Source organism: Homo sapiens, chromosome 2, assembly GCF_000001405.40.
Source record: "Homo sapiens chromosome 2, GRCh38.p14 Primary Assembly".
NCBI classification, from domain to species: Eukaryota; Metazoa; Chordata; class Mammalia; order Primates; family Hominidae; genus Homo; species Homo sapiens.
This window is the reverse complement of record NC_000002.12, coordinates 177,337,861-177,362,606: the sequence shown is the minus strand read 5'-3', so window position 1 is coordinate 177,362,606 and position 24,746 is coordinate 177,337,861. Positions and strand designations below refer to the sequence as shown.

Below are 24,746 nucleotides of genomic sequence, written 5' to 3'. Positions count from 1 at the left end.
ATATACATCCTTAGAAATGACTACCAATATATACAAGATGATTGATCCCAGATGCTCTACTGTAGATATAAGCAAAGTACTGCCAGGGTACAGTGGATGGAGAGGGATTCATTCTGATAGGAAATTAGAGAAATCTGAGGATATGGATAACATTTAAACTTTTACTAGTGTAAAATTTTAGCAGTTTTCAAGCCTGATCTACTGAGAAATGAATTAACATCAGAAAAGGAAGAGCATGTTTGCAGGGGAAACAATAAGTTCAGTTTTCAGACATTGATTTTGAGATGCCTACAGTTGTAACACATAGAAATGTTTAGATTTGGAAGTTACCACCTACAGGTAGTAGTTCAAGCTTCACACATGAAGTTGCTGGCATGCAGAGGGAGTAAAGATATCATAAAGCTATCTCGCAACCTCATCACAGATAAGGACAGATACAAGGGTACCACTAGGCACCAGGGCAGAGTTTTCTGGCAATGAAATCAAGACAGAAGAGGAAGAAAAGCCTGGGATGCTTTCGGGCATGGAGTTGGTAGAGGGTTACTGATGTAGGTAGCCCTTAGGAGTGATTAGGAGATTGCAAAAGAAGCGTATGAAGGATTTAAGATTAAGGAAGGGAGGGGCCACTTGGAGGAATTGCAAAAACAAAGTTTAACTTTATTTTTCTTTTTACAAGCTTGCCTGGATCCAGCCTTGCAGAAGATTATAGCAAAAGTATTGTGGGCTCAATGGCAAGGTCAAGATGACTGGGCAAGGCCCTGGGAAATGAATGCTAACTTCTCACTGTTTTTTTTTTTTTTTTTTACCTTTCTGCTGCCTTCAATGTACTTTATTGTACAGTGCTCTCCCACTCCCAGAGACATTATCTCGCATGTCCCTCTTTGCCCTCAAAATCTATTTTTTTTTCCCTTTGAGACAGGGTCTTGCTCTGTCACCCAGGATGGAGTGTAGTGGCGCAATCACAGCTCACTGCAGACTCAACCTCCCAGGATCAAGCAATTCTCCCACCTCAGCCTCCCAAGTAGCTGGGACCACAGGTGCACACCATCATGCCCAGCTAATTTTTGTATTTTTTTGTAAAGACAGGTTTCACTATGTTACCCAGGCTGATCTCGAACTCCCGTACTCAAGCAACTCCCCACCTCAGCCTCCCAAAGTGCTGGGATTACAGACGTGAGCCACAGCGCCGGGCCCCAAAATCTATTTTAAATGTAAAGAAACCCAAAAGTAACAGTTTTGTAAAAGAAAATTCACGTACTGTTTTGTAGTAAATTCTAAACACTGTGTATCTTTGTGTCTAGTTAAATCCTAGGCTTACAGCTAAACTTCAATGAGAAGGCAACCAAAGAATACGTTAGGAATTAACCCCTGGAAGTAAGACCAGGCAAAAGGCACCTCAACCATATCTGCTAAGTGTATAAAGAATTGATAGTTAGGTGCCACATCCTTTATCTACATTTGCACCTACACGTGAACCTAGACCTTATTTATCAATACCACTCATCATAATGAAATAAGGATACAGTGATACAATTTCAACACTGTCTAAAAGAACTCAGGCTAGGTGCAATGGCTTACACCTGTAATCCTAGCACTTTGGGAGGCCAAGGCAAGTGGATTGCTTGAGCTGAGGAGTTAAAGAGCAGCTTGAGCAACATAGTAAGAGCTCGTCTGTACAAAAAATAAAATTAGCCAGGTGTGGTGGGGCACACCTGTGATCCTAGCTACCTGGGAGGCTGAGGTAGGAGGATCACCTGAGCCTGGGAGATCAAAGCTTCAGTGAGCCATGATCATGCCACTGCACTCCAGCCTGGGTGACAGAGTCAGACCCTTTTTCAAAAAAAAAAAAAAAATTGTAGATGGAGAGCAAGAGGCAAAGGGGAGCAAGAAAAAGGGAAAACAAGAAAGGAAGGGCCTCCTTCACTGGCTGCCTTTGTCCTGACACCTCCTTTATTTGAGTTACTAACATGGGGTTCCAGAAGGTATTTTTCCATAAAAAAACATTGAAATCATTAGCTGAACTGGATAGTCTACTCCATTATGTCTTGGATAGGTTCTGACCTTCACACATGGCCCCGGAGAATAAGAAACTGAAGAAAGCAGTTTTTATGGCAAAAAAAAGAAATGTAACGAGGAAGGACATATCTGGCTTGGTGAGCCAAGGTTTTGCATGAGAGACAGCTTTGGCAGAAAATATGTTTGGCTGCATTTTTTTAAAACCCAAATGAAATAGCTTTATTTTACTAAGTCCCTTGGGTAAAATGTGTATGTTTTTACAATATATATTACCTACACTATTAAGTAGAAAAATGTCAGTAGCAAATTGGCACAGCTTCTTAGACTCCTAATATGTATGCCTAGTGTTCCATTATTGGAATGCTAAGCTTGTGGGAGTTATTTATATCCTACTGCTCAAGATCATCGCCAAGTTCTGATTTTTCACACACACAAAAAAATTGCAATCTCCAGCATAAATAGGTTAATGGTTAATATCTGGGCATAGCTGAAAAGTAGCAAAACAGATGCTGTTTTCAGATTTTTTATTTTGATTAGTAGCATCAGGGAACTGGTATGGTGAGGGTGGTTGGGGTTCAGAAAAGGAGAAGGAAGCTGAAAGGGGAAAGAAACATAAATACATGAGATGATAATTGAGAGATTCAAATTTTCTATATTTTCTGTCTTTTGAAAGAGACAGAATTTAAATTTTATGGAATTTCATTAGAATTTTTTTAATGAATGCAGAAAAACACCTTAAACACCTTAAAACATATCTAGGCTGACCCACAGAAGAGTAAAGCCATCCTGTCTTTTCTCTGTATCTCTCTGACACACACACACACACACACACACACACACACACACATCAATAGTTTCTGAGGATCATTTTTAATTTATTTTTATTTCTAGCATACAAAAGCCTAGGATTATACTCCTTTTTATGTGTTTTAGAAGGGTGAGGTGCAATGTTAAGGAAATTAACTCAATAACATTTTACCTGCTAAGTGAAATACAAAATCTACCCCTACGATTAATAGTTTATACTTTTTTGTTGTCTTGCATTACGTGGATAAGTAAGGATTTTTTCCAAAAAAAAGATATGTGTAGTTTGAGACCAGCATGGGCAAATGACAAAATCTCATCTCTACAAAAAGTACAAAAATTAGCCAGGCATGGTGGTGCACACCTATAGTGCCAGCTACTCAGGAGGCTGAGATGGGAGGATGACTTGAGCCCAGGAGGCAGAGTTTGCAGTGAGCCAAGATTGTGCCACTGCACTCCAGCCTGGGCAACAGAGCCAGACCCTATCTCTAATTAATTAATTAATTAAAATTTAAAAAAATATATATGTGTATGATATGTATGGAAATCAGTACGTTGGCGAGAATGAAAAAAGGCTGCACATTTTCAGGGAGCCAAAAGACAGAGAGCCTGAGAATAAAAGGGGGACTGAGCTGGTTTCAGCTGCAAAGCCAGCAATCATTTCAGACAATAGTCTGCTCTTTCAGCTGAAAATACGGGAAAAGGAGTGGCACAAATAAATGCCCTCCTTGACTGTCCAAATATCTGTAAGATAATTAAAGTATCCTTCACCCTTTTTAATGGGAGCCCACTGCTTCGCTCTATGTAAATGAAGTTAGGATCCTTTCAAACAATACAAATAGGAGAAGGAGATCATATATATATTGTAATATTATATCATACATATATTACGTAGAATGTTCTTTTCTGATTATAAAGCAATTCATGAGAAAAATATTAATAAAATATTTAAAATTAATGATCATTTTAGAAAAAAATGGGCATACAAAAAGATTAAAAAGAAAATAAAATATTTATATTATTAGTAAAATTAACCATTTTTTAAAATTTTTAAATTTTAAAATTAAAAAATTTAAAATTTAAAAAAATTTTACTTTTAAAATTATTTAAATATATGATCTGAATTTATATTGTAATTCTACTACCCAAGAGATATGCTGATAATATTTTGCTGTATTTCTTCCTAGTAATTTTTCTTTAATGCTACACTATCTTTGCCTAGGACAAGAAAGTACTCCCATTTGATGCTTTCAGCACTGCTAGACAGTAAATGAATTAAAAACACTAAAATAAAAGAGACAGAAACAGTAATTGCACCCAACTGAACTGTGGGAAGCTGTACCAGCCTCCACAACTAAGTATTCGAAGAAAGAAAACAGTTGTGAGAAATCAGCACAGTGCTGTGGAAAGAACACACAGAAGACTTGGTCCTAGTACTGTCTTACTGTTACTTCACTCCATGACCTTGGGAAAAACATTTTCCTTTTCTAGGATTCATTTTCTTTATCTCTAAAATAGGAGACTGCAGCTCAGCAGATGCACAAACATTATAAGGTATTTTGCCCTTTGCTGGAGACTAAGGATGATGGGCAGGAAGCTTCTAATCTAATCTAGTAGGTTTTGCAATTTAGAAATGAAAATTTAGGTAAAATTTTATGATATCCCTGAAATAGACCCTGAAGTTTAGAAGAAGATAATTTTCAAATTCTTGGCCTAATGAAGTGGACAAAATGCTACCAAAGTTCCTCAGACTCTGAAATTCTGTAATTTATTGTCACCAAAAGTCAAATGCCTAGACCAGTGTTGATCATTCTCATGCTGAGAGTAATTAGTGAATTTGTTCAGGGTCTGGGGGGACCCCAATTTCAAAGCAAATGGAAACCAGAGATGGTTGTTCTGTCAATCCAATTGTCACTTTATAGTCCCTAAATACCAAAGGCTAAGCTTTGGCAAAGTTGGGCAGTAAAAATCTACCCTTACTGCAAATCTTTCTCCTTTTGATCCTTCTCTCCCCAATCAGTTCTATTTCAATCCAGAAAGTCAGCAACTTTGAACTTTCTCTTCCGTCTGTGAAAACCTATTGGTAAGTGGTAGATATTTACAGCTTAGTAAATACATAAGTGTTTCTAAATATCTAAGTGTTTCTCCCAAGGATATTTATGTTAAAGTTTTATATCTAATTTTCTAATAAAAGTTTTTTCTCCCTATTGAGGGAATTGTTTTCCATTTATATAAAATTATTTTAAAATTATTTGTATAAATTTAAGGGGTACAAGTGAAGTTTTGCTAACATGGATACACTACCTCCTGGGGAGGTCTGGACTTTTAGTGGAACCCTCACTGGAATAATGTTACAATGTACCCATTACGTAATTTCTCATCCTTCTTCCCCTCCCCTCCCACCCTTCTGAGTCTCCATTGTCTATTCCACACTCTAAGTTCATGTGTACACACACTACTTAGCTCCCACTTATATGTGAGAATTTTATGTTTCACGATGAGTAGGTGGAGAAGATGTATTTAGGGAGTAAGACAGAGGACTTTCTTAGGTTCCCTAAATTCATACGAGATATGGGGAACCTTTGTCCAAGAGTATTTTCAAATTCTGGAACAATGAGGATTATGTCTTTAATATGGGCCTTTCCCCAAACACCACTAATAAGGACCTCTTCCTCCCTCTACTTGGAGCTACATTTGAACATAGTTTTTAACAAGTTACAAAAACACTACCCCCAGTTACTACAAGCCCTGAATGAAATGTAATAGCCAAGAATCCTTTTAAGGATTGGGTGCTGGGATTGTTTGCTTTCTCTTCTCTCTTTTCTTTTCTTTTCTTTTTTTTCCTTCGACAGGGTCTTGCACTGATGCCCAGGCTGGAGCCCAGAGCACAGTGGCCTGTTACCAGCTCTCTGCAACCTCTGCCTCCTGAGCTCAAGCAATCCTGCCTGAGTAGTTAGGACCACAGACATATGCCACCATGCCCAGCTAATTTTTATATTTTTTGTAGTGATGGTGTTTCACCATGTTGCCCAGGCTGGTCTCAAACTCCTGAGCTCAAGTGATCCGCCTGCCTTGGCCTCCCAAAGTGCTGCGATTACAGGTATTAACCATGTCCGGCCTTGCTTTGTTTCTGGTTTATAGTGAGACTGAAAAAATTTAAGGAAGGTATCTCAATTTAAATGAATTACTAATTGAATGAGTGATACATTTACAGATAAATGATTCTTCTACATCAATGCTGTCCAGCAGAACTTCTATGATGATAGAAATGTCCTATAACTGTGCTGTCTAGTGGGTAACCACTAGCCCCATGTGCACTAGAAAAATGGCACTTGAAAGTCAGAAACTGAATTTTTAATTTTTATTAGCTTTAATTAATTTAAATCTAAATAGCTATATGTGGATAATGGACATCATATTAGTTAACACAGTTCTAGATGATTCTGTGCAGAGGCTGGTTGGTTGCCAAATATATTATTCTGACCCTGACAAGGGAACCCCATCCAAGTAGAGTGATTCACCTTTTTAATCTCAGGTCTATTATATTAGTTATCAAGACCAAGGCTATTGCTATTAACAAATGAGAAAATCTATAGAATTGCCATGGAAACCCTATTGGAGAAACACAGGTTTCCATGTCAACCCCTGTCTAGGATACCGCTACAAAATGCCCTATAAGCAAAAACTTCTGAAACCACAATGTTTTCTGACTAATGGAATTAGGAGACTGCGACTTTTGTCCATTGTTCTTAGGCAAGGCATTTGGGGCCCTTCCAAGAAGTAGTCTGAATATCTGTTATAAGGAAAGAAAATGATACAGTGTCTAAAGGCCCTTGACTGAAAAATTTGTTTTTTGATAAATATGTTTTTATCTAAAGGCTCTTTGTCAGAAATCCTTCCTTGGGATTATGCTTGCTGACTTTTCTGATATGTTTCTATTAAGAAAAAAAAAAAGAAAGAAAAGGAAAGAAAAAGCAGAAAAGATGAAAGAAAGCTTCCCATCAGTGTTTCAAATAAAGAAGTTTATGATGAGATGTTACCATTGACCCTTAATTTCTGCCCCGTTTGAAACACTAAGGGAGTCCAACCATTGTCCATGCCCCTTTTGGAATGGTTGTGATTTCCAGGGCCTTGGTTAACTATTACTCCTAGCCCAAATCCTGGTGAGCTCCACTAGCTGCAGAGGCCACCATTTGCAAGAGCAGATATGCAGAAGATCCCTGGCCAGCCTCCTCATACCTACCTTCATTGCTATGTGGAGACAATAGAATCATTAAAAGTTATGGGCTGGACATGGTGGCTAACACCTGTAATCCCAGCACTTTGGGAGACCGAGATGGATGGATCGCTTGAGTACAGCAGTTTGAGACCAGCCTGGGCAACATGATGAAACCCTGTCTCTACAAAAAAAAAAAAAAAAAAAAAATTAGCCAGCCTTCATGGCACATGCCTGTGGTCCCAGCTACTCAGGAGGCTGAGGTGGGAGGATCACCTGCGCCTGACAGGTCAGGGCTGCAGTGAGCCAAGATTGCACCACTGCACTCCAGCCTGACAGAGTAAGACAATATATCAAAAAAAAATTTTTTTCATAGACCAATGGAACACAATACAGAACCCAGAAATAAACTCAAATACTTACGGGCAACTGATCTTTGACAGAGCAAAGAAAAACATAAAGTGGGGAAAGGACACCCTTTTCAACAAATGGTGCTGTGATAATTGGCTAGCCACATGTAGGAGAATAAAAGTGGAACCTCATCTCTCACCTTATACAAAAGTCAACTCAAGATGGATTAAGGACTTAAATCTAGGACCTGAAACTGTAAAAATTCTAGAAGATAACATTGGAAAAACCCTCTAGACATTGGCTTAGACAAGGATTTCATGACCAAGAACCCAAAAGCAAATGCAATAAAATCAAAGATAAATAGTTGGGACTTAATTAAACTAAAGAGCTTTTGCACAGCAAAAGGAACAGTCAGCAGAGTAAATAGACAACCCACAGAGTGGGAGAAAATCTCCACAATGTATACATCTGACAAAGGACTAATATCCAGAATCTACAATGAACTCAAACAAATCAGTAAGGAAAAACAAACAATCCCATCAAAAAGTGCGCTAAGGATATGAATAGACAATTCTCAAAAGAAGATATACAAACGGTGAACAAACATATGAAAAAATACTCAACATCACTAATGATCGGGGAAATGCAAATCAAAACCACAATGCAATACCACCTTACAAGAATGGTGATAATCAAAAAATCAAAAAACAGTAAATGTTGGTGTGGATGCAGTGATCAGGGAACACTCCTACACTGCTGGTGGGAATGTAAACTAGTACATCCTGTATGGAAAACAGTGTGGAGATTCCTTAAAGAGCTAAAAGTAGAACTAAAATTTGATCCAGCAATCCCACTACTGGGTATCTACCCAGAGGAAAACAAGTCATTATTCGAAAAAGAACATGGACATGCATGTTTATAGCAACACAATTTGCAGTTGCAAAATCGTGGAGCCAACCCAAATGCCCATGAATCAACGAGTGCATAAAGAAACTGTGATATAGGCTGGGCACACTGGTTTATGCCTGTAATCCCAGCACTTTGGGAGGCCGAGGTGGGCGGATCACCTGAGGTCAGGAGTTTGAGACCAGCCTGGCCAACATGGCAAAACCCCGTCTCTCCTAAAAGTACAAAAATTAGCCAGGCATGGTGGCGGGTGCTTGTAATCACAGCTACTCAGGAGGCTGAGGCAGGAGAATCGCTTGAACCCGGGAGGCGGAGTTTGCAGTAAGCTGAGATCGCACCACTGCACTCCAGCCTGGGCGACGAGAGCAAGACTCCATCTCAAAAAAAAAGAAAAAGAAAGAAACTGTTATATTTATATATATAAATATATATATTTATATATATTTTTATATATATATAAATATATATATTTATATATATATAATATATATGATGGAATACTGCTCAGCCATAAAAAGGAATGAATTAATGGCATTTGCAATGACCTGGATGAGACTGAAGACTATTATTCTAAGTGAAGTAACTCAGGAATGGAAAACCAAACATCCTGTGTTCTCACTGATATGTGGAAGCTAAGCTATGAGGACGCAAAGGCTTAAGAATGATACAATGGGCTTTAGGGGACTTGGGGGGAAGGGTGGGAGGGGGCAAGGGATAAAAGACTACAAACAGGGTGCAGCGTATACTGCTCAGGTGATGGGTGCACCAAAATCTCACAAATCACCACTAAAGAACTTACTCATGTAACCAAATAACACCTGTACCCCCGTAACCTATAGGAAAAAAAATTAAGTTATAAAGGTATATTTATTTCTATGGTTAAAGAAAAAATTCCCCTTGTTATAGAAAACTGAGGTGTCTGGAAAAGAAGCCTGAGACTTGGCTGCCCTGGGGAAGGATCCTAGGCGGCTGTGGTTGAAGAAACTTACATGAACCCACGTCCTTGGCAAGAGTGCTTGGTTTCCTGAATTGTTAGGAAAGTTGTTGAGAAACTGAGGACTGTAGTGAAGGGAGAATATTTGTTTTAGACAATAACAGATGATAGTATGAACAAAAACAGGTGGTGGCAATCAATTCCTAGTCGGGAGCCCAGAGAAAGGAATCCACATTTGGATCCTGTCTCAGTTTAATAAGATTCTTTGAAATGTAGCAGAGAAGGCTCCTGTTGCCTTCAGTAAATGGCTTGCTTGCTTTTTTTCCCACTCAAATCTATACAGTATAAGCTTTTGGACCTTGCTTTCCATACTATATTAGACCAAAAGTTGCACTTAGAAAATCTCCATCTTATACAATCTCCTCACTTTAAGTGAGAAAACAAAGGTGCAGACTTGCCAAGCGTCAACCCGTTATTACTAAAATTCCTGTCCCAGAGCTTACTTCATATGACATGAAGTTCCTGTTTCCACAACAGCAGCCAAACCCTATCTGCTCCCTGTTTCCTTCTCCTTTTTGTAATGAAATGATAGAAGTTGGGGACTCGAAATAATTTTCACTGAGTGTATATAACCCTCAGAACCTTTATTATGCTTCACTTCAACAAATATTTACTAAGTAACTACAATGTCCAAGCCTTAGCACTACTAAGTTGTTGTTCCTCCAGCAGATAAGGGCCTCAAACATAGTTGCAGCTAAGATTCTCTCTAAAGGTTTATTTCATCTCCACCCAAAACAGGAAGGCCTGGGAACTTGTACCAATATATTTCTTTCTTTCTTTCTTTTTTTAAGATGGAGTCTTGTTCTGTCATGTTACCCAGGCTGGCATGCAGTGGTGCAATCTTGGCTCACTGCAACCTCTGCCTCCTGGGTTCAAGCAATTCTCCTGCCTCAGACTCCCAAGTAGATGGGACTACAGGTGCATGCAGCCACGCACAGCTAATTTTTGTATTTTTAGTAGAGACAGGGTTTCTCCATGTTGGCCAGGCTGGTCTCAAACTCCTGACCTCAGGTGATCTGCCCACCTCGACCTCCCATAGTTCTAGGATTACAGGCACAAGCCACGGTGCCCAGCCAATATATTTCTTTAACTCAGTACAGCTAACACATATTTACTTATCATCCTTTTCTTTCTAGCTGATTACAGGTTTCCTCTTTTCTTTTTTGTCTTCCTGGTATCCTTGTCTGTTCCCTCTGTTTAAAGTTTTGCACAAGGTTCTGGGAAAGAATTGAGGAATGCTTAGGGTGTGACCCCACAAGCCAAATCTTGCACAGTTTCAGTATATGGGGATTAAGAAAAGATGACTGATTCTTGACGTTCTGGTCTGACTTTGGGCTTGGTTCGAGAGTGTGGGGATTCTAGTGTAATGGAAAAGAGAATATAACTAAAAGTGGTGCAGATTTGTTAGTCTAAAATCTGGTCCCTGCTTAGAGATACTCTGATTCCTCTCACTGCTATGGAACAGACACACACACCCACACACCACCCCAGCTGATGTTGTCACACTCACACACACACACACCACCCCAGCTGATCTTGTCACACACACACCACCCCAGCTGACCTTGTCACACACACACACACACCACCCCAGCTGATCTTGTCAAACACACACACACACACCACCCCAGCTGATCTTGTCAAACACACACCACCCTAGCTCATCTTGTGTGTCTCTCTCACACACACACACCACCCTAGCTCATCTTGTCTCTCTCTCTCTCACACACACACACCACCCCAGCTCATCTTGTCATACACACCACCCCAGCTGATCTTGTCTCTCTCTCTCTCTCTCTCAATCTCACACACACACACACCACCCTAGCTCATCTTGTCTCTCTCTCTCACACACACACACCACCCCAGCTCATCTTGTCATACACACCACCCCAGCTGATCTTGTCTCTCTCTCTCTCTCTCTCAATCTCACACACACACACACCACAGCTGATCTTGTCTCACACACATACACACACACACCACTCCAGCTGATCTTGTCTCTCTGTCTCTCTCTCTCACACACACACACCACCCCAGCTGATCTTGTCTCACACACACACACAACCGCAGCTGATATTGTCTCACACACACACACACACACACAACCCCAGCTGATCTTGTTATACAGACACACCACCCCAGCTGATCTTGTCAAACACACACACACACACCACCCCAGCTGATCTTGTCAAACACACACCACCCTAGCTCATCTTGTGTGTCTCTCTCACACACACACACCACCCTAGCTCATCTTGTCTCTCTCTCTCTCACACACACACACCACCCCAGCTCATCTTGTCATACACACCACCCCAGCTGATCTTGTCTCTCTCTCTCTCTCAATCTCACACACACACACACACACCACCCCAGCTGATCTTGTCTCACACACACACACACACAAACCACTCCAGCTGATCTTGTCTCTCTCTCTCTCACACACACACAGACACACCACCTCAGCTGATCTTGTCTCACACACACACAACCGCAGCTGATATTGTCACACACACACACAACCCCAGCTGATCTTGTTATACACACACACCACCCCAGCTGATCTTGTCTCACACAGACACACCACCCCAGCTGATCTTGTCTCACACACACACACCACCCCAGCTGATCTTGTCTCACACACACACACACCACCCCAGCTGATCTTGTCTCACACACACACACCCCACACCAGCTGATCTTGTCACACACACACACACACAACCCCAGCTGATCTTGTCTCACACACACACCACCCCAGCTGATCTTGTCTCACACACACACACCACCCCAGCTGATCTTGTCACACACACCCCACCCCACACCAGCTGATCTTGTCACACACGCACACAACCCCAGCTGATCTTGTTATACACACACACCACCCCAGCTGGTCTTGTCTCACACACACACACCACCCCAGCTGATTTTGTCACACACATACACACCACCCCAGCTGATCTTGTCTCACACACACACCACCCCAGCTGATGTTGTCACACACACACACACCACCCCAGCTGATCTTGTCTCACACACACACACACCCCACACCAGCTGATCTTGTCACACACACACACAACCCCAGCTGATCTTGTTATACACACACACCACCCCAGCTGATCTTGTCTCACACACACACACCCCCCACACCAGCTGATCTTGTCACACACACACACAACCCCAGCTGATCTTGTTATACACACACACCACCCCAGCTGGTCTTGTCTCACACACACACCACCCTAGCTGATCTTGTCTCACACACACACACACACACCACCCCAGCTGATCTTGTCTCACACACACACCACCCCAGCTGATCTTGTCACAAACACACACACCACCCCAGTTGATCTTGTCTCACACACACACACACCACACCAGCTGATCTTGTCTCACACACACACACCACCGCAGCTGATCTTGTCACACAGACACACACATACACCACCCCAACCGATCTTGTTATACACACACACCACCCCAGCTGGTCTTGTCTCTCTCTCTCTCTCTCTCTCACACACACACACACACACACACACACACATGCATACCACCCCAGCTGATCTTGTGTCACACACACACACCACTGCAGCTGATCTCGTCTCACTCACACACACACACACACACACACAACCACCCCAGGTGATCTTGTCCTTGTCTCTCTCTCACACACACACACCACCCCAGCTGATCTTGTCGCACACATACACACACACACAACCACAACTGATCTTGTCTCTCTCTCACACACACACACACCACCCCAGCTGATCTTGTGTCACACACGCACCCACAAACACACATACCCACAAACACACATACCCACCACCTCACCTGATCTTGTCTCACACACACACCACCCCAACTGATCTTGTCTCACACACTTGCACTCACACACTCCATCCCAGCTGATCTTGTAAACACACAAACATACCATCCCAGCTGATCTTGTCTCACACGCACATGCACACACTCACACACACACCACCCAGCTGATCTGTCAAGCCAGACTTTCTCTTCAGCTCTTGCCCTCCTCCTCCCAAACTTTCTTCCTTACTCTCTCTATCCCCATTGTCTCCACCCTAATACAAGTCACCCTCATTTTTTTGCCTGGATTCTAGGCAGGTCCCAGTAGCCTTCTGACTGGTCTTTGCCATCTATTCTTTTCTCTCTTTGATCCTTTCTCCATTTTGCACTCAAACTGACCTTTCAAAACTATGTTGCTTCCTGGTGTGTGAGGGTAATGACCCAAATCATGAATGGGGCCTACAAGGCCATGCACAAAGAGGCTTTCACCCACCTGCTTAGCTTTCTCACTCTTCATTGGCCACCCACACTGGTGGTGCTACCCTGAACACTCTTCCCCTGCCCTCAACCCCTAACTCCAGCTCCTGCCCTCACTCTTCCTTTAGCACTCAGTTCAAATGTGACTTCTTCAAAGAAGAATTCCTAATACTCCAGACTGTTAGCTGTTCCCCTAGCATCTTCACTTCTTTACACTGCCTATTACAGTTGTAGTTATGTAATTAGTTGCTGTTTAAACACTGTGTCCCTAGTCAGAATATAAACTTTGTGAACTCAGACGCTATGGCTGTCTTGTTCACTGCTTTGTCCACAGCATTTATCCCAATGCCCAGCACACAATGGGGTTCATTAAATATTTGATGAATGGATAGCAACATTCATGTTGTAGAGATACATATGGCCTCTTCTTTGACACGTGGGTTCTGGAACAGAAAGAACCTGGCCTGTCCCGTATCGTATTGTTATTCTTTTAACTTTGGTTTGGTTTGATTATTTTTATCCTCTGTGTTTTTACATTTTGTTTTGTAAAGGCAAGAAAGAACCCTCAAGTGGATTGCCTCTGGCAGTTGGAGCCACACCGGTGTTCTCAGAATACACCCTGTCCTTTCCAATTTCCTTCATATGCGGTAACCACCAACAGTCTTGGAGTAACAAGTCTTAAATTCTGATTCTCAGTCGGCTAAAGTAAGATCCCTTGTGGCCCCAACCACACGCCACTTTCTCTCTGAAAGCCTATCTGTTCTTGTCAGAACTTCTCTCTTCTTGCTAAAGCATTTCACTTTCACCTCTGTCTAACAGTTATATTTTCTAGCTTTTTATTATAGTTGTTTTGATACCCATCTACCCAACCTACTAAACTCTGTGCTGTCTGAGGGCAGGTACACTGAACTGTTAAAATGTCTGAATCACCTGTGTATTCTCAGCATCTAGCACAATGTTAGGTGTTTATTAAACACAATTAAATTTTTCATTAGTATAGTAGCAGAGTGACTGGGCTAAAGTCCTTTAGTTTTATTGTTTCCATTCATCAATTCCATCATATATTCTCCCTCGCTTCCACCAAGAAGTACAGAGAATAAAGATCCTATTTTCTTTTCCCTTCCTATGAAAGGTTTCCAAGATTACTGAGAAAGAAGAAAGTACTGAGGAGCCTTATGTAAGTAGAGAACAAAGAGAATAATGCCAATAAATACATATATTGTTTAAAGCCCTGCAGCTCTTCCTCAAATCAGATGATAACAAGTTCAGAGTGCCAGGAGCATCTGGCAAAGGGCATCTGCTGAAACTGATGTCTCAGAAGAAAAAAAAAGAAAGAAGAAAAAGCAATAGTCTGTGTAGTGATAAATGGAACATTCCTTATTGTCGATTCTTAGAAAGACAGTACCATACATTGTATGCTTTATAGTGGAAATTATTTTTCCTAATGTGTAAACATCTAAAAATAATATATTCAGCCCAGGCGCTGTGGTTCACAGCTGTAATCCCAGCACTTTAGGAAGCCAGTGCAGGAGGATTACTTGAGGCCAAGTGTTCATTACCAGCCTGGGCGATACAGTGAGACCATGTCTCTACAAAAAAAAATTTAAAAATTAGCCAGGCACAGTGGCCCATACCTGTAGTCCTAGCTATTCAGGAGGCTGAGGCAAGGAGAATTGCTTGAGCCCAGGAGGTTGAGAATGCAGTGAGCTATGATCATGCAACTGCACTCTACCCTCTACCCTGTCTCAAAAATAAATAAATAAAAATAGCATATTTACTGAAAGCAAATATACAGACCTGGAAATATAGGTTCTAAACTCATTTCTTCCTCTGTCTAGCAGGGTGACCTTGGTCAAGTCAGATTATCATCTATAGGTAGTTGTGCTGCATATGGGGCCTCTTGTTACAGATTTAAAAATAGAAACCCTCCTAAAGCAAATTCCTTTTATTTAAATCAGCCCTCATGGAACCAAATGTTGTCATGGGAAGGATACAGTCAGGCCATGACTGTCAATGAGAAACAAGATTGATGCCATTATTGAAGATATGATATGATATCATATCTAGGGAAACAAATCTTCTTATCAGTTGTTATTAATTTCCATTCAGGTGTTTCTCTGTTTTCTTCAGTTCAGCTGGTACCTATTAAAAGCTTGTTACTCAAAAGAAATAACCTAATATGGCAGAATTGTGCCTCAGGAAACCTGTGCTTTAAATCTGACTGTACTACTACAAGCTGTATGATCTTAGACACTTTATAATAGTGACAGTTGCCACCTACTGAGCATCTACTCTCTGCTCACTGTGCTAGGCCCTTTACAGGTGCTATTTCCTTTAGTTCTCACAAAGCCCATCATGATAAATGCTATTAGCCTCATTATACAGATAACTCAAATGTTATTTGAAGAAGTTAAGTAATTTGCCACAGGTCACATAGCTGGTATAGTAAGTGAGATTCCAAAGTCCTTGCTTTTTTTCCAAAAAGCAAGTGCTTCTTTCCAAAGTGCTTTTTTGTGAAGAGTCCTGGGGGAATTCTTTACTCAAATTTTTCCAATCATAAAGTTAGGGGATTTAGTTACGTGACCTGCAGGAGTGATAGTAAATAAATGTAACTTTTTTGTTGACTTTTTATAATGGATTTTTTTTTTTTGAAACATGATATCACTCTGTCACTCAGGCTGGAGTGCAGTGGTGTGATCATGGCTATTTTTTGTAGCGACCGAGTTTTGCTATGTTGTCCAGGCTGGTCTCGAACTCCTGGGCTCAAGCCATCTGCCCACCTCGGTTTCCCAAAGTGCTGAGATTACAGGCATGAGTCACCACAGCAGGCCTATAATGGAAAATTTTTATCATACACAAGAATAGAGAGACTAATTCAGTGACCAATCCCACAGCCACAAAAATCGTCACTTCATAACCACTCTTATTTCATCTATACCCATTCACTTTTCCCTTTACCTCAACACCCAATGGATTCTTGTGAAGCAGTCCAGCTATATTATTTGATCTGTAAATATTTTAGTATTTATCATGAAAGGGAAAGACCTTTTAAAAACATAATCCTGATCCTTTTGTAGTTCATGAGCGTGATGATTGGGTGTTCACATGCATGTGTGAGATGTGCCGCTGTTGAACCTTGTTATGATGTCAGCACATTACCCGTCTGACAAGAAAAAATACCAATACTATTAGCATACCTTAAAAATTAACAAGAATTCCTTAATATCATAAAATATCCAATGTTTGTGTTTCTTTCATTTTCTCCTTCTAAAAAAATAGCTTAATATATTTTAATAGCAAACTTACAGGAATAGCACAGAAGACAGACAACATTAAAAACCTGTACTTGCATGTAGGACAACTCAGAAAAGTACAGTGAATGCACAGAATCGACTGTATTATCAAATGCTACCAACATTATTTAGTTGCCATCAATAAGAAATTTGCTTGTTTTTAAAAAGTCCAAATGCTGGCATTGTCCAGAACATTTTAACAGGTTTATTTATATTGTTATAAAGTTGAACTGCTGGCCAGGTGTGGTGGCTCATGCCTGTAATCCCAGCATTTTGGGAGGCTGAGGCAGGCAGATTGCCTGAGGTCAGGAGTTCGTGACCAGCCTGGGCAACATGGTGAAACCCTGTCTCTACTAAAAAATATGAAAATTAGCTGGGCATGGTGGCGGGTGCCTGTAATCCCAGCTACTTGGGAGGCTGAGGCAGGAGAATCACTTGAACCCAGGAGGTGGAGGTTGCAGTGAGCCGAGATCACGCCATTGCACTCCAGCCTGGGTGATGAGAAACTCCGTCTCAAAAAAAAAAAAAAAAAAAAGTTGAACTGCTGAAACTTGTTCACTGAAACATTTTGACTTGCATTAATGCTTTGTGTCCTTGCATTTTTAAAATTTGTTATTGATACACAATAGTTGTGCATATTTTTATCATACATGTGAAAATTTGATACATTCATATAATCAAATCTGTGTCCCTGCATTTATATTAAAAATTCATACACAAATGAATATGGAGAAATTGCCAATACCTGATTTCTGTCTTCTGTTTTTCCACTTGCAATCATTGTATGTAGGTACCATTTGACCTCATGGGAAAAAGAAATCTAACATTCACAACTACCAGTGTCAGGAAGAAGAGAGAGAGAGAAGAATGAAATGTTTTCCAGCACAGTGAATTCTTAAGCATGTTCTTCACATATGTGGTGTGCTAGCTGGATGTCTTTTGCCATAATTGTTACACATTTGGCATAGAGGACACATAGGTTGTTATCTTCAAAAAGGCCAGCCAAATAGGCCTCCCTTGCCTCCACAAAGCACCAATAGCTGTGCTCTGGAAGCACAGATCTGTTTTGAAGTCCTGAGAAATTTCTTGCACCAGGTGCTGGAAGGGAAGTTTGCAGATCAGAAGCTTATGGACTTCTGATAATATTTAATTTTATAGAGTACCACAGTACCAGTGCAGCAGTACCTCAATGATGAAGTTTCTTCAGCACTCCAGTAGAGGGTGAACTCTTGCAGGTGACTTTTGTATCCAGTGACTTCTTGAATGCTTTACCACTGATAGATTTGTAGGCCATAGTATAGAAATCTTTCTCACCTCCTTCTCCTTCCACTGGAGCTCAGTGAGCTAGAGGCGGCTTGTAATCTCTCTCTCTCTCTCTCTGACAATTTGGTCATTAAAGATAATTTAAGATTTTCTTGAAGTTTTTTTTTTTTTTTTTTTGTATCCCAAGGTAGTATATTCCACTAGGGGTATACAGCCAAATTACTGTGTTCTAATATCACTGATAATCAAAATATTAAAACAGTTAGTTAAAACCAATCAGAATGGACAGCCCCCTGCTATGATCTAACCCTTTAGTTATTGGACCGTAAAGATGAGGGGTGGGAAAGGTAATATCTCAGGGCAGCAGTAGTTCACCAACCTATATGTTGTTTAACAACCCAACATTATTTCAATGTTTTGTTTTGTTTTGTTTGTGACGGTGTCTCTGCTCTGTCACCCAGGCTGGAGTGCAGCAGTGTGAACACGGTTCACTGCAGCCTCAACTTCCTGGGCTCCACCTCAGCCTCCCAGTAGCTGAGACTACGGGCATGCACCACCACACCTGGCTAATTTTTTGTAGAGATGGGGTTTCACCCTATTGCCCAGGCTGGTCTTGAACTCCTGGCCTCAAGCGATCTTACTGCCTTGGCCCCCGAAAGTGCTGGGATTACAGGCGTGAGTCACCACACCCGGCCTGTTTCAAAAACTGGGAATACCATCCTCTGCATACTGGCTTGTTACAAACCCTGGTATCTTTAAGTTCCATTCTAGCTCCAATAGGAATGTAAATAGTCACTTAATGGAGATACCCTTTTCCTGCTTCCTTACACTACTAGTCTTTATATACATAAACACACACACATATAAACTTTACAATAACACAAATGATTATTTTCTATAATTCTGGAAGTTCTGGCAAGTAAAATAAACAACAAAATAGAAATATGAGTTATGACTATTAGGAAACAAAATTATTAGCATTTAGAACAAATATAATTAGATACCTAAAACAAAACTAACAAAAAATTAGAATAAGCAAATTATGAGTACAAACTTGTAGGCCAAACAAGTCTAAAAATCTATTGTGGTGGCGCCAGCTACAGTGCTAGCAGACCTGGATCAATTAGTAATTATAAGTGAAGTTAAATATAATTAAATATATAATTTAAATATAATTAATTATATAACTTTCAGCTCTTCTGATTTAATTCCACTAAAATTCTTAAGAATTACTTGCTCTGGCAGATATCTGTGCTATTGCCTTCACTAATAGCACTCTTTCCTAAGGAGTAATAGCCCTATCTCCCACCACCATCCACATGGCTGCAGCCAGAAATTTTCTGTGTTTACGTGATCCTTCTTTCCTGGCCACACTTGATAAATCAGGGATAGGCGCACCTGATCTAAGCCAGTACAATAAGAGGCCTTCCTCTGGATTTTTCAGACTGGAATGAAGAAAGAGAGACAGCCATATGGTTCTTAAAGGACACTGACCCAAAGAGCTGTAGGTAATCATGTTTTCTGCTTCGGGCAGATTCTGTCTCAGATGAAGCTGATATGCAGAGACGGGCCAAGCCAGTTGTCAAAGGGAATTCTGATGGCAATGGGGTTTCTGAGGTAGAACTATAGTTCTGCTTATCTCTTGGTTTGGCTTTTTAACCCTTTTTTGGAACCCATAAGCCAATAATTTCTCATTTTTGCCAAAGAAATTCAAATTAGGTTTCTATCACTTGCTGTCAAAAGAATTCCCACTTCATTGACAAAAGGAAATGCATAGAATAAATTTTCCACAAGTAACAGATTTATATTTGAGGCATGTTCATTTTATTGTATACAAATCTTTTCAATTCCCTCACTATTATCAACTTTTAAAAATTTGGAATGTTCACGGTTTTTTGATTATGTAATTTAAAAAAAAACTTGGACTTTCAGGGTCTAGGGTGTGGTAAGAGAGGCAGGAGATAAGTTTGGAAAGGTAAACTGAGATTAGAATATATAGGGCCTTAAATGTCATGTGAAGTTTAGACTTTATCCTGCAGGTAATGGGGATCCATTTGGCAAGTTTTCAAGCAGGAGAAGGATATGTTTAGATAAATAATTCTGGTGGCAATTTGGAGCTTCAATAAAATGAGGGAAAAATGAAAACAGCTTAATAGGTGCTTGTGCTGGAAACCTAATTACATAAAGATTATTCCAGGTGTCCAAGGCAGGGTTGATGAAAGAATCGCCTAGGAAAGTTACGCTGAAAATTGTCGGGAAATGGAAGGATTCAAGAGACATTTGAAAGACAGAATTGGTACTATTGAATGACCACTTGGACACAGGGGATGAAAATGAGGAAATATAGAAGGACTATGACTAGATGGGGATGCCATCAACACAAGAAAAGGAGGAGGAACAGATTTGAGAAGACACTATTCTTACTGAGTATCACCACTCATTTTTATGATACTTCTAGCAGGTATGGAGCTAAAACGTATGATGTCCCATTGTAACACTCATATTATATCTTGGCAGGTTGTTTGTACTTTATTGGATTTGCTGCATAATGTAGGATGCCAAAGTAATCATTACGTTCTGGAACTTAGGAGTCCTACTTGGTCTCTGATGAGGAAGGCATTAACTGTGATTTCTGTCACATGCTGGTGTGTACTGATCTGGGAGAAATCTTTGATTTAATGAATAGAATTAAATGTAATTATAGCCAACTTAAAATTCTGTATATCACATATAGAGAATACCATTAACTCATTGTCTACTCTGCCTTCCTCTACTTTCATGATTAAGGGCAGAGGAGTTAAAATTTTATAGTGAAATAAAATTGGATAGATATGATAAAGTAATGGGAGGCTTACATTTTCAAAGTAAATATTTCTGTGTTCAAAGCAATTCATCAGAGGGCCACTTTCCCTGTACTTTCCCTGAAGAACTAAAAGCTCTTGTCCACCTGATTTCTAAAGCAAAATTATCAAATGCCAGCAATGTAACTTGTTCTGTGTTAAAAACAGAACTAGACACAGTCCTTATCCTTGAGGACTAGCTCACTATCATTCCAGTATTTTTTGGAAAGTGTGAAATTCCTATTTGCAGATGGTGACTTTGCCAAAATTGAAACCTTAGTAGCTCACATACACTTGTGTGAGTACCTAACATCTTTATAATTCTGACAACACTAATGAGCTACAGGAAACACTGGCCAAATTCTGCTTGGTTTGGTTTCCATTCTTTTGCACTGACCAATAAAAATATAAAGCAAGCCACATTTGTGATTTTAAATTTTCTAATAACCATATTTTTTAAAAGTAAAACATGTAAAGTACATTTTAATAGGCTTTTTTAAAAACTTATTTTTAGAGCAGTTTTAGGTTCACAGCAAAATTAAGAGGAACATACAGAGACTTCTCATATACCCCTCGCCCCCACACGTGCATAGCCTACCCCATTATCAATATCTCCCACCAGAGTGGTACATGTTTTATAACTGATGGGCCTACATTGGAACACTCAAATTCTGTAGTTTACTTTAGGGTTCACTCTTGGTGTTGTGCATTCTATGAGTTTGGAGAAATTTGTGACCTATATCCAGCAGTATAGTATCACACAGAGTAGTTTCACTGCCCTAAAAATCCTCTGTGCTCCACCTATTCATCCCTCCCTCCACCCTAACCCCAGGCAACCACTGATCTTTTTACTGTCTCCAGAGTTTTGCCTTCTCCAGAATTTCATATGGGTGGAATCACACAGTATGTACAGCCTTCTCAGATTGGCTTCTTTATGAAATTAATTTTCATACTGTATTTTCTTTAACCAAAATTGTTTAATGTGATTACTTTAACATGTAATCAATATTTAATATTACTAATTAAATACTTTACATTGTCTTTTCATACTAAGTCTTCTAAATATACACCAGATACTTATCTATCTATATATCTCTCTATATATCTAAATATATAGATAGATAGATATGTATCTGGTATATATCTATCTATATATACAAAATCTGGTAAATTTACACCAGATTTTGAAGACTTACAGCATATCTTGATTCAAACTAGCCAGATTTCAACTTGATCACCACATGTGACTAGTGACTACTATATTAGATAGTGCAACCTTAGATATGAGTCACAACTGGAGACATCTTTGAAAGAATTAAGCTGCCTGTCCCTTAATTTAACAATGAATACAATGTCCTTTACACTATTGGCCACTTACAGATGGAAGGCCACTCCAAGTCTAAGGGAGAAAGGTAATATGATGGAAATTACAAATATGCATTCTAATATTTAATCTTTTTTCATTCAAGCATCTATCCTGCCATTCAGTTTTCCATGCTTTGAAGAATGGAAAATGGTGATACTTTTCTGTCATGTTGAGTAATGGATTAGATAATAGGGAAGAGTGGAGTTGCCATTATATTGAATTTATTCTGAATTATAGAAGTCACGTGCTATTTTGGAGAGAGTGCCAGTTTAAGAGGAGGATTTGAGCCTTTATTCTGGTAGACACTATATGGCCTGAGACAGATCAAGTCAATTTTTTGGATATTTTCTTATTCTCTAAAATGAAATTGAACTAGTTCAGTGGCTTTTAAACCATACTCTGGGGAACGTAAGGGTTTATATGGGAAGAGTGAGAGTGAGGAAGGATTTAGGTGGAATTTTTCATGCACACACATACATACACACATACACACACATACACTGGCAGATTCAACCACTGCTGGATCAAGTTCATTGGATGTATATATTAATCTTCAGTGTAAGTTCCAGAGCTAATTAAAATTTTAAACATAATAACTAGATAATTTGATCATATCTACTTTCCTTTTCAATGATAATATCAGGTATAATGTTCACACCTTCTGGCCTATTTCTAGAGGTCCTTTCACGTACTTTTTACTCAGGCTTCCTTGTGACCAATCTTAACCCTTCCAAGTCACTGGTCAAGTTACCAAACTATTAGCCACTGCTAATTCCAGGCAAACTGAACAACGAGATACATATTATTTCAGTTTCTGCCCATTTTGAGGATTGCCCCTTTTTTTCTTTTTCTTTTTCTTTTTTTTATAAATTGAGATGGGGTCTCGCTATTTTGACCAGGCTGGTATCGAACTCCTGGCCTCAAGCAGTCCTCTCATCTTAGCCTCCCAAAGTGCTGGGATTACAGGCATGAACCACCATGCCCGGTCAAGGATTGTCCTTTCCCCTGGTCTTTCTGGGTCTTGGAGTGAGCTATAAATGCTAAAGCAACCCACTTCAAGCCAAGAAAAAAGGATCTGTAAACCAGGATTTTAATTTTTTCCTCTCAAATCAATTGGACATAGTGAATACCCCATGAGACACTCACACGTAAGCTAGAGAGGGACAGCAGTGTGACAGACGTAAGTAGCAGGAGAATACAAGCAACGTGCTCACTAAACTCACTCATCCTCAGGACTATCCAGGCCTGGTGAGTTATGAGCCTGAATTAACACCTGGATCCTGATAGACAATTACGACGCAAAGTCACTTGGTGTCTCAGGGTTAGGTGTTCCACTGGGACCTAGTAGCAAGCCTCTAATATCCAAAGAGGTCCACCAAAATAGTACCTCTTCATATTGGTAAGGAGCTCAGGTACAACAGTTTATCTCTCACTTTAGAATTATAGCCAAACATGTTCTGTATACCACTGGACCCTTGAAAAATTCCCACTCGAGCGCTCATGTATTTTTTTCAAGGTATCCAAGGTATTTATTGCTTTCTACTCTTTTGTCCCCACTTGTATAGGATGAATAATCTGATATCATGTGAAATGAGGAAATAAGAAGCTTTCTGCTGACTTCATTTTGACCCAGGGTCCAAAAGGTGATGTAATCCTGTGGCAAGAAGGTAAAGCTATATTCTTGTCCGTACCAGATGAAAGTGAACTATCTCTGCTTCATCATTCACAACTGTCCTAATAAATGGCCACAAGTCCCTTTGTATTCCAGGAGGTAGACTCAAGTAGGCACTTCCTCGAGGGTACTCAGATTTCCTTTAACTGTGTCTGAGAACGCATTCATATCTGGAAATTGGATACCGTCTCTCTTTTCTAGACATAAAGGTTTTGTTTGTTTGCTTGTTTGCTATACAAATCAAGTAGAACCTTAGTGACTGCTTATTTATTTCAGTCCTGGGGACTCCATGATCAGTTAGTCACCTCCCAAGAATCCATGAGTCAGAGCATTCTAATTTTCACACTGACCTACTAACTTTCAACTTAGCCCCATGCAAATGTGCTACCTAGACCATGTCACTCTGGGATCCTGCCATCCCTCTGAAACTCAGTAAGCCAAATTCAACTGTAGCCTTTTTTCAGCATCATCGCTGGTCTACGTGAAACGTTCTCTAAATCACTTTTATACTGACCCTTCCCTCATAGATTTGTTTCTCAAGGCCTTTGTAAAGAGTGTTTTCTGGACCTTCTTATGATTTTTATTTTAATTAGAGACAGGGTCTCGATATGTTGCCCAGGCTGGCCTCAAACTCCTGGGTGAAGTGATCCTCCCACCTCAGCCTCCCAAGTAGCTGGGACAGGTGTGAGCCACTGCAACTGGCTAGACCCTTTTTTGGAAGACAAAATTGAG

At 40.1% G+C, this 24,746-nt stretch overlaps 1 long non-coding RNA gene, 1 other non-coding gene and 1 pseudogene across 2 annotated transcripts in view, besides 2 other annotated features; 2 read left to right on the top strand and 1 right to left on the bottom strand.

Annotated features, from left to right (window-relative positions):
- Positions 1 to 24,746, top strand: part of LOC100130691 (Putative uncharacterized protein FLJ44553) — a 109,184-nt gene that overhangs the window by 30,085 nt on the left and 54,353 nt on the right. The window contains exon 2 of the long non-coding RNA NR_026966.1: positions 23,908 to 24,009. This is a non-coding gene — a long non-coding RNA (Putative uncharacterized protein FLJ44553). The remainder of the gene's footprint in view (positions 1 to 23,907; positions 24,010 to 24,746) is intronic.
- Positions 13,522 to 13,661: a silencer, noted in NCBI's record as "silent region_12146". NCBI's record gives its function as "represses an Ori minimal core promoter by ATAC-STARR-seq in GM12878 lymphoblastoid cells {active_cell/tissue: GM12878}" and the evidence as "EXISTENCE:reporter gene assay evidence [ECO:0000049][PMID:35858748]".
- On the top strand, positions 16,646 to 16,749 carry LOC124906145 (small nucleolar RNA U13). Its single transcript, XR_007088734.1, has one exon. It is a non-coding gene; the product is annotated as a small nucleolar RNA U13 (small nucleolar RNA).
- H3P7 (H3 histone pseudogene 7) lies at positions 17,771 to 18,164 on the bottom strand (annotated as a pseudogene).
- Positions 23,402 to 24,601: an enhancer, noted in NCBI's record as "BRD4-independent group 4 enhancer chr2:178202734-178203933 (GRCh37/hg19 assembly coordinates)". NCBI's record gives its function as "activates an origin of replication core promoter dependent on BRD2, P300/CBP, MED14 and CDK7 cofactors, and independent of BRD4, by STARR-seq in HCT116 cells {active_cell/tissue: HCT116}" and the evidence as "EXISTENCE:reporter gene assay evidence [ECO:0000049][PMID:35650434]".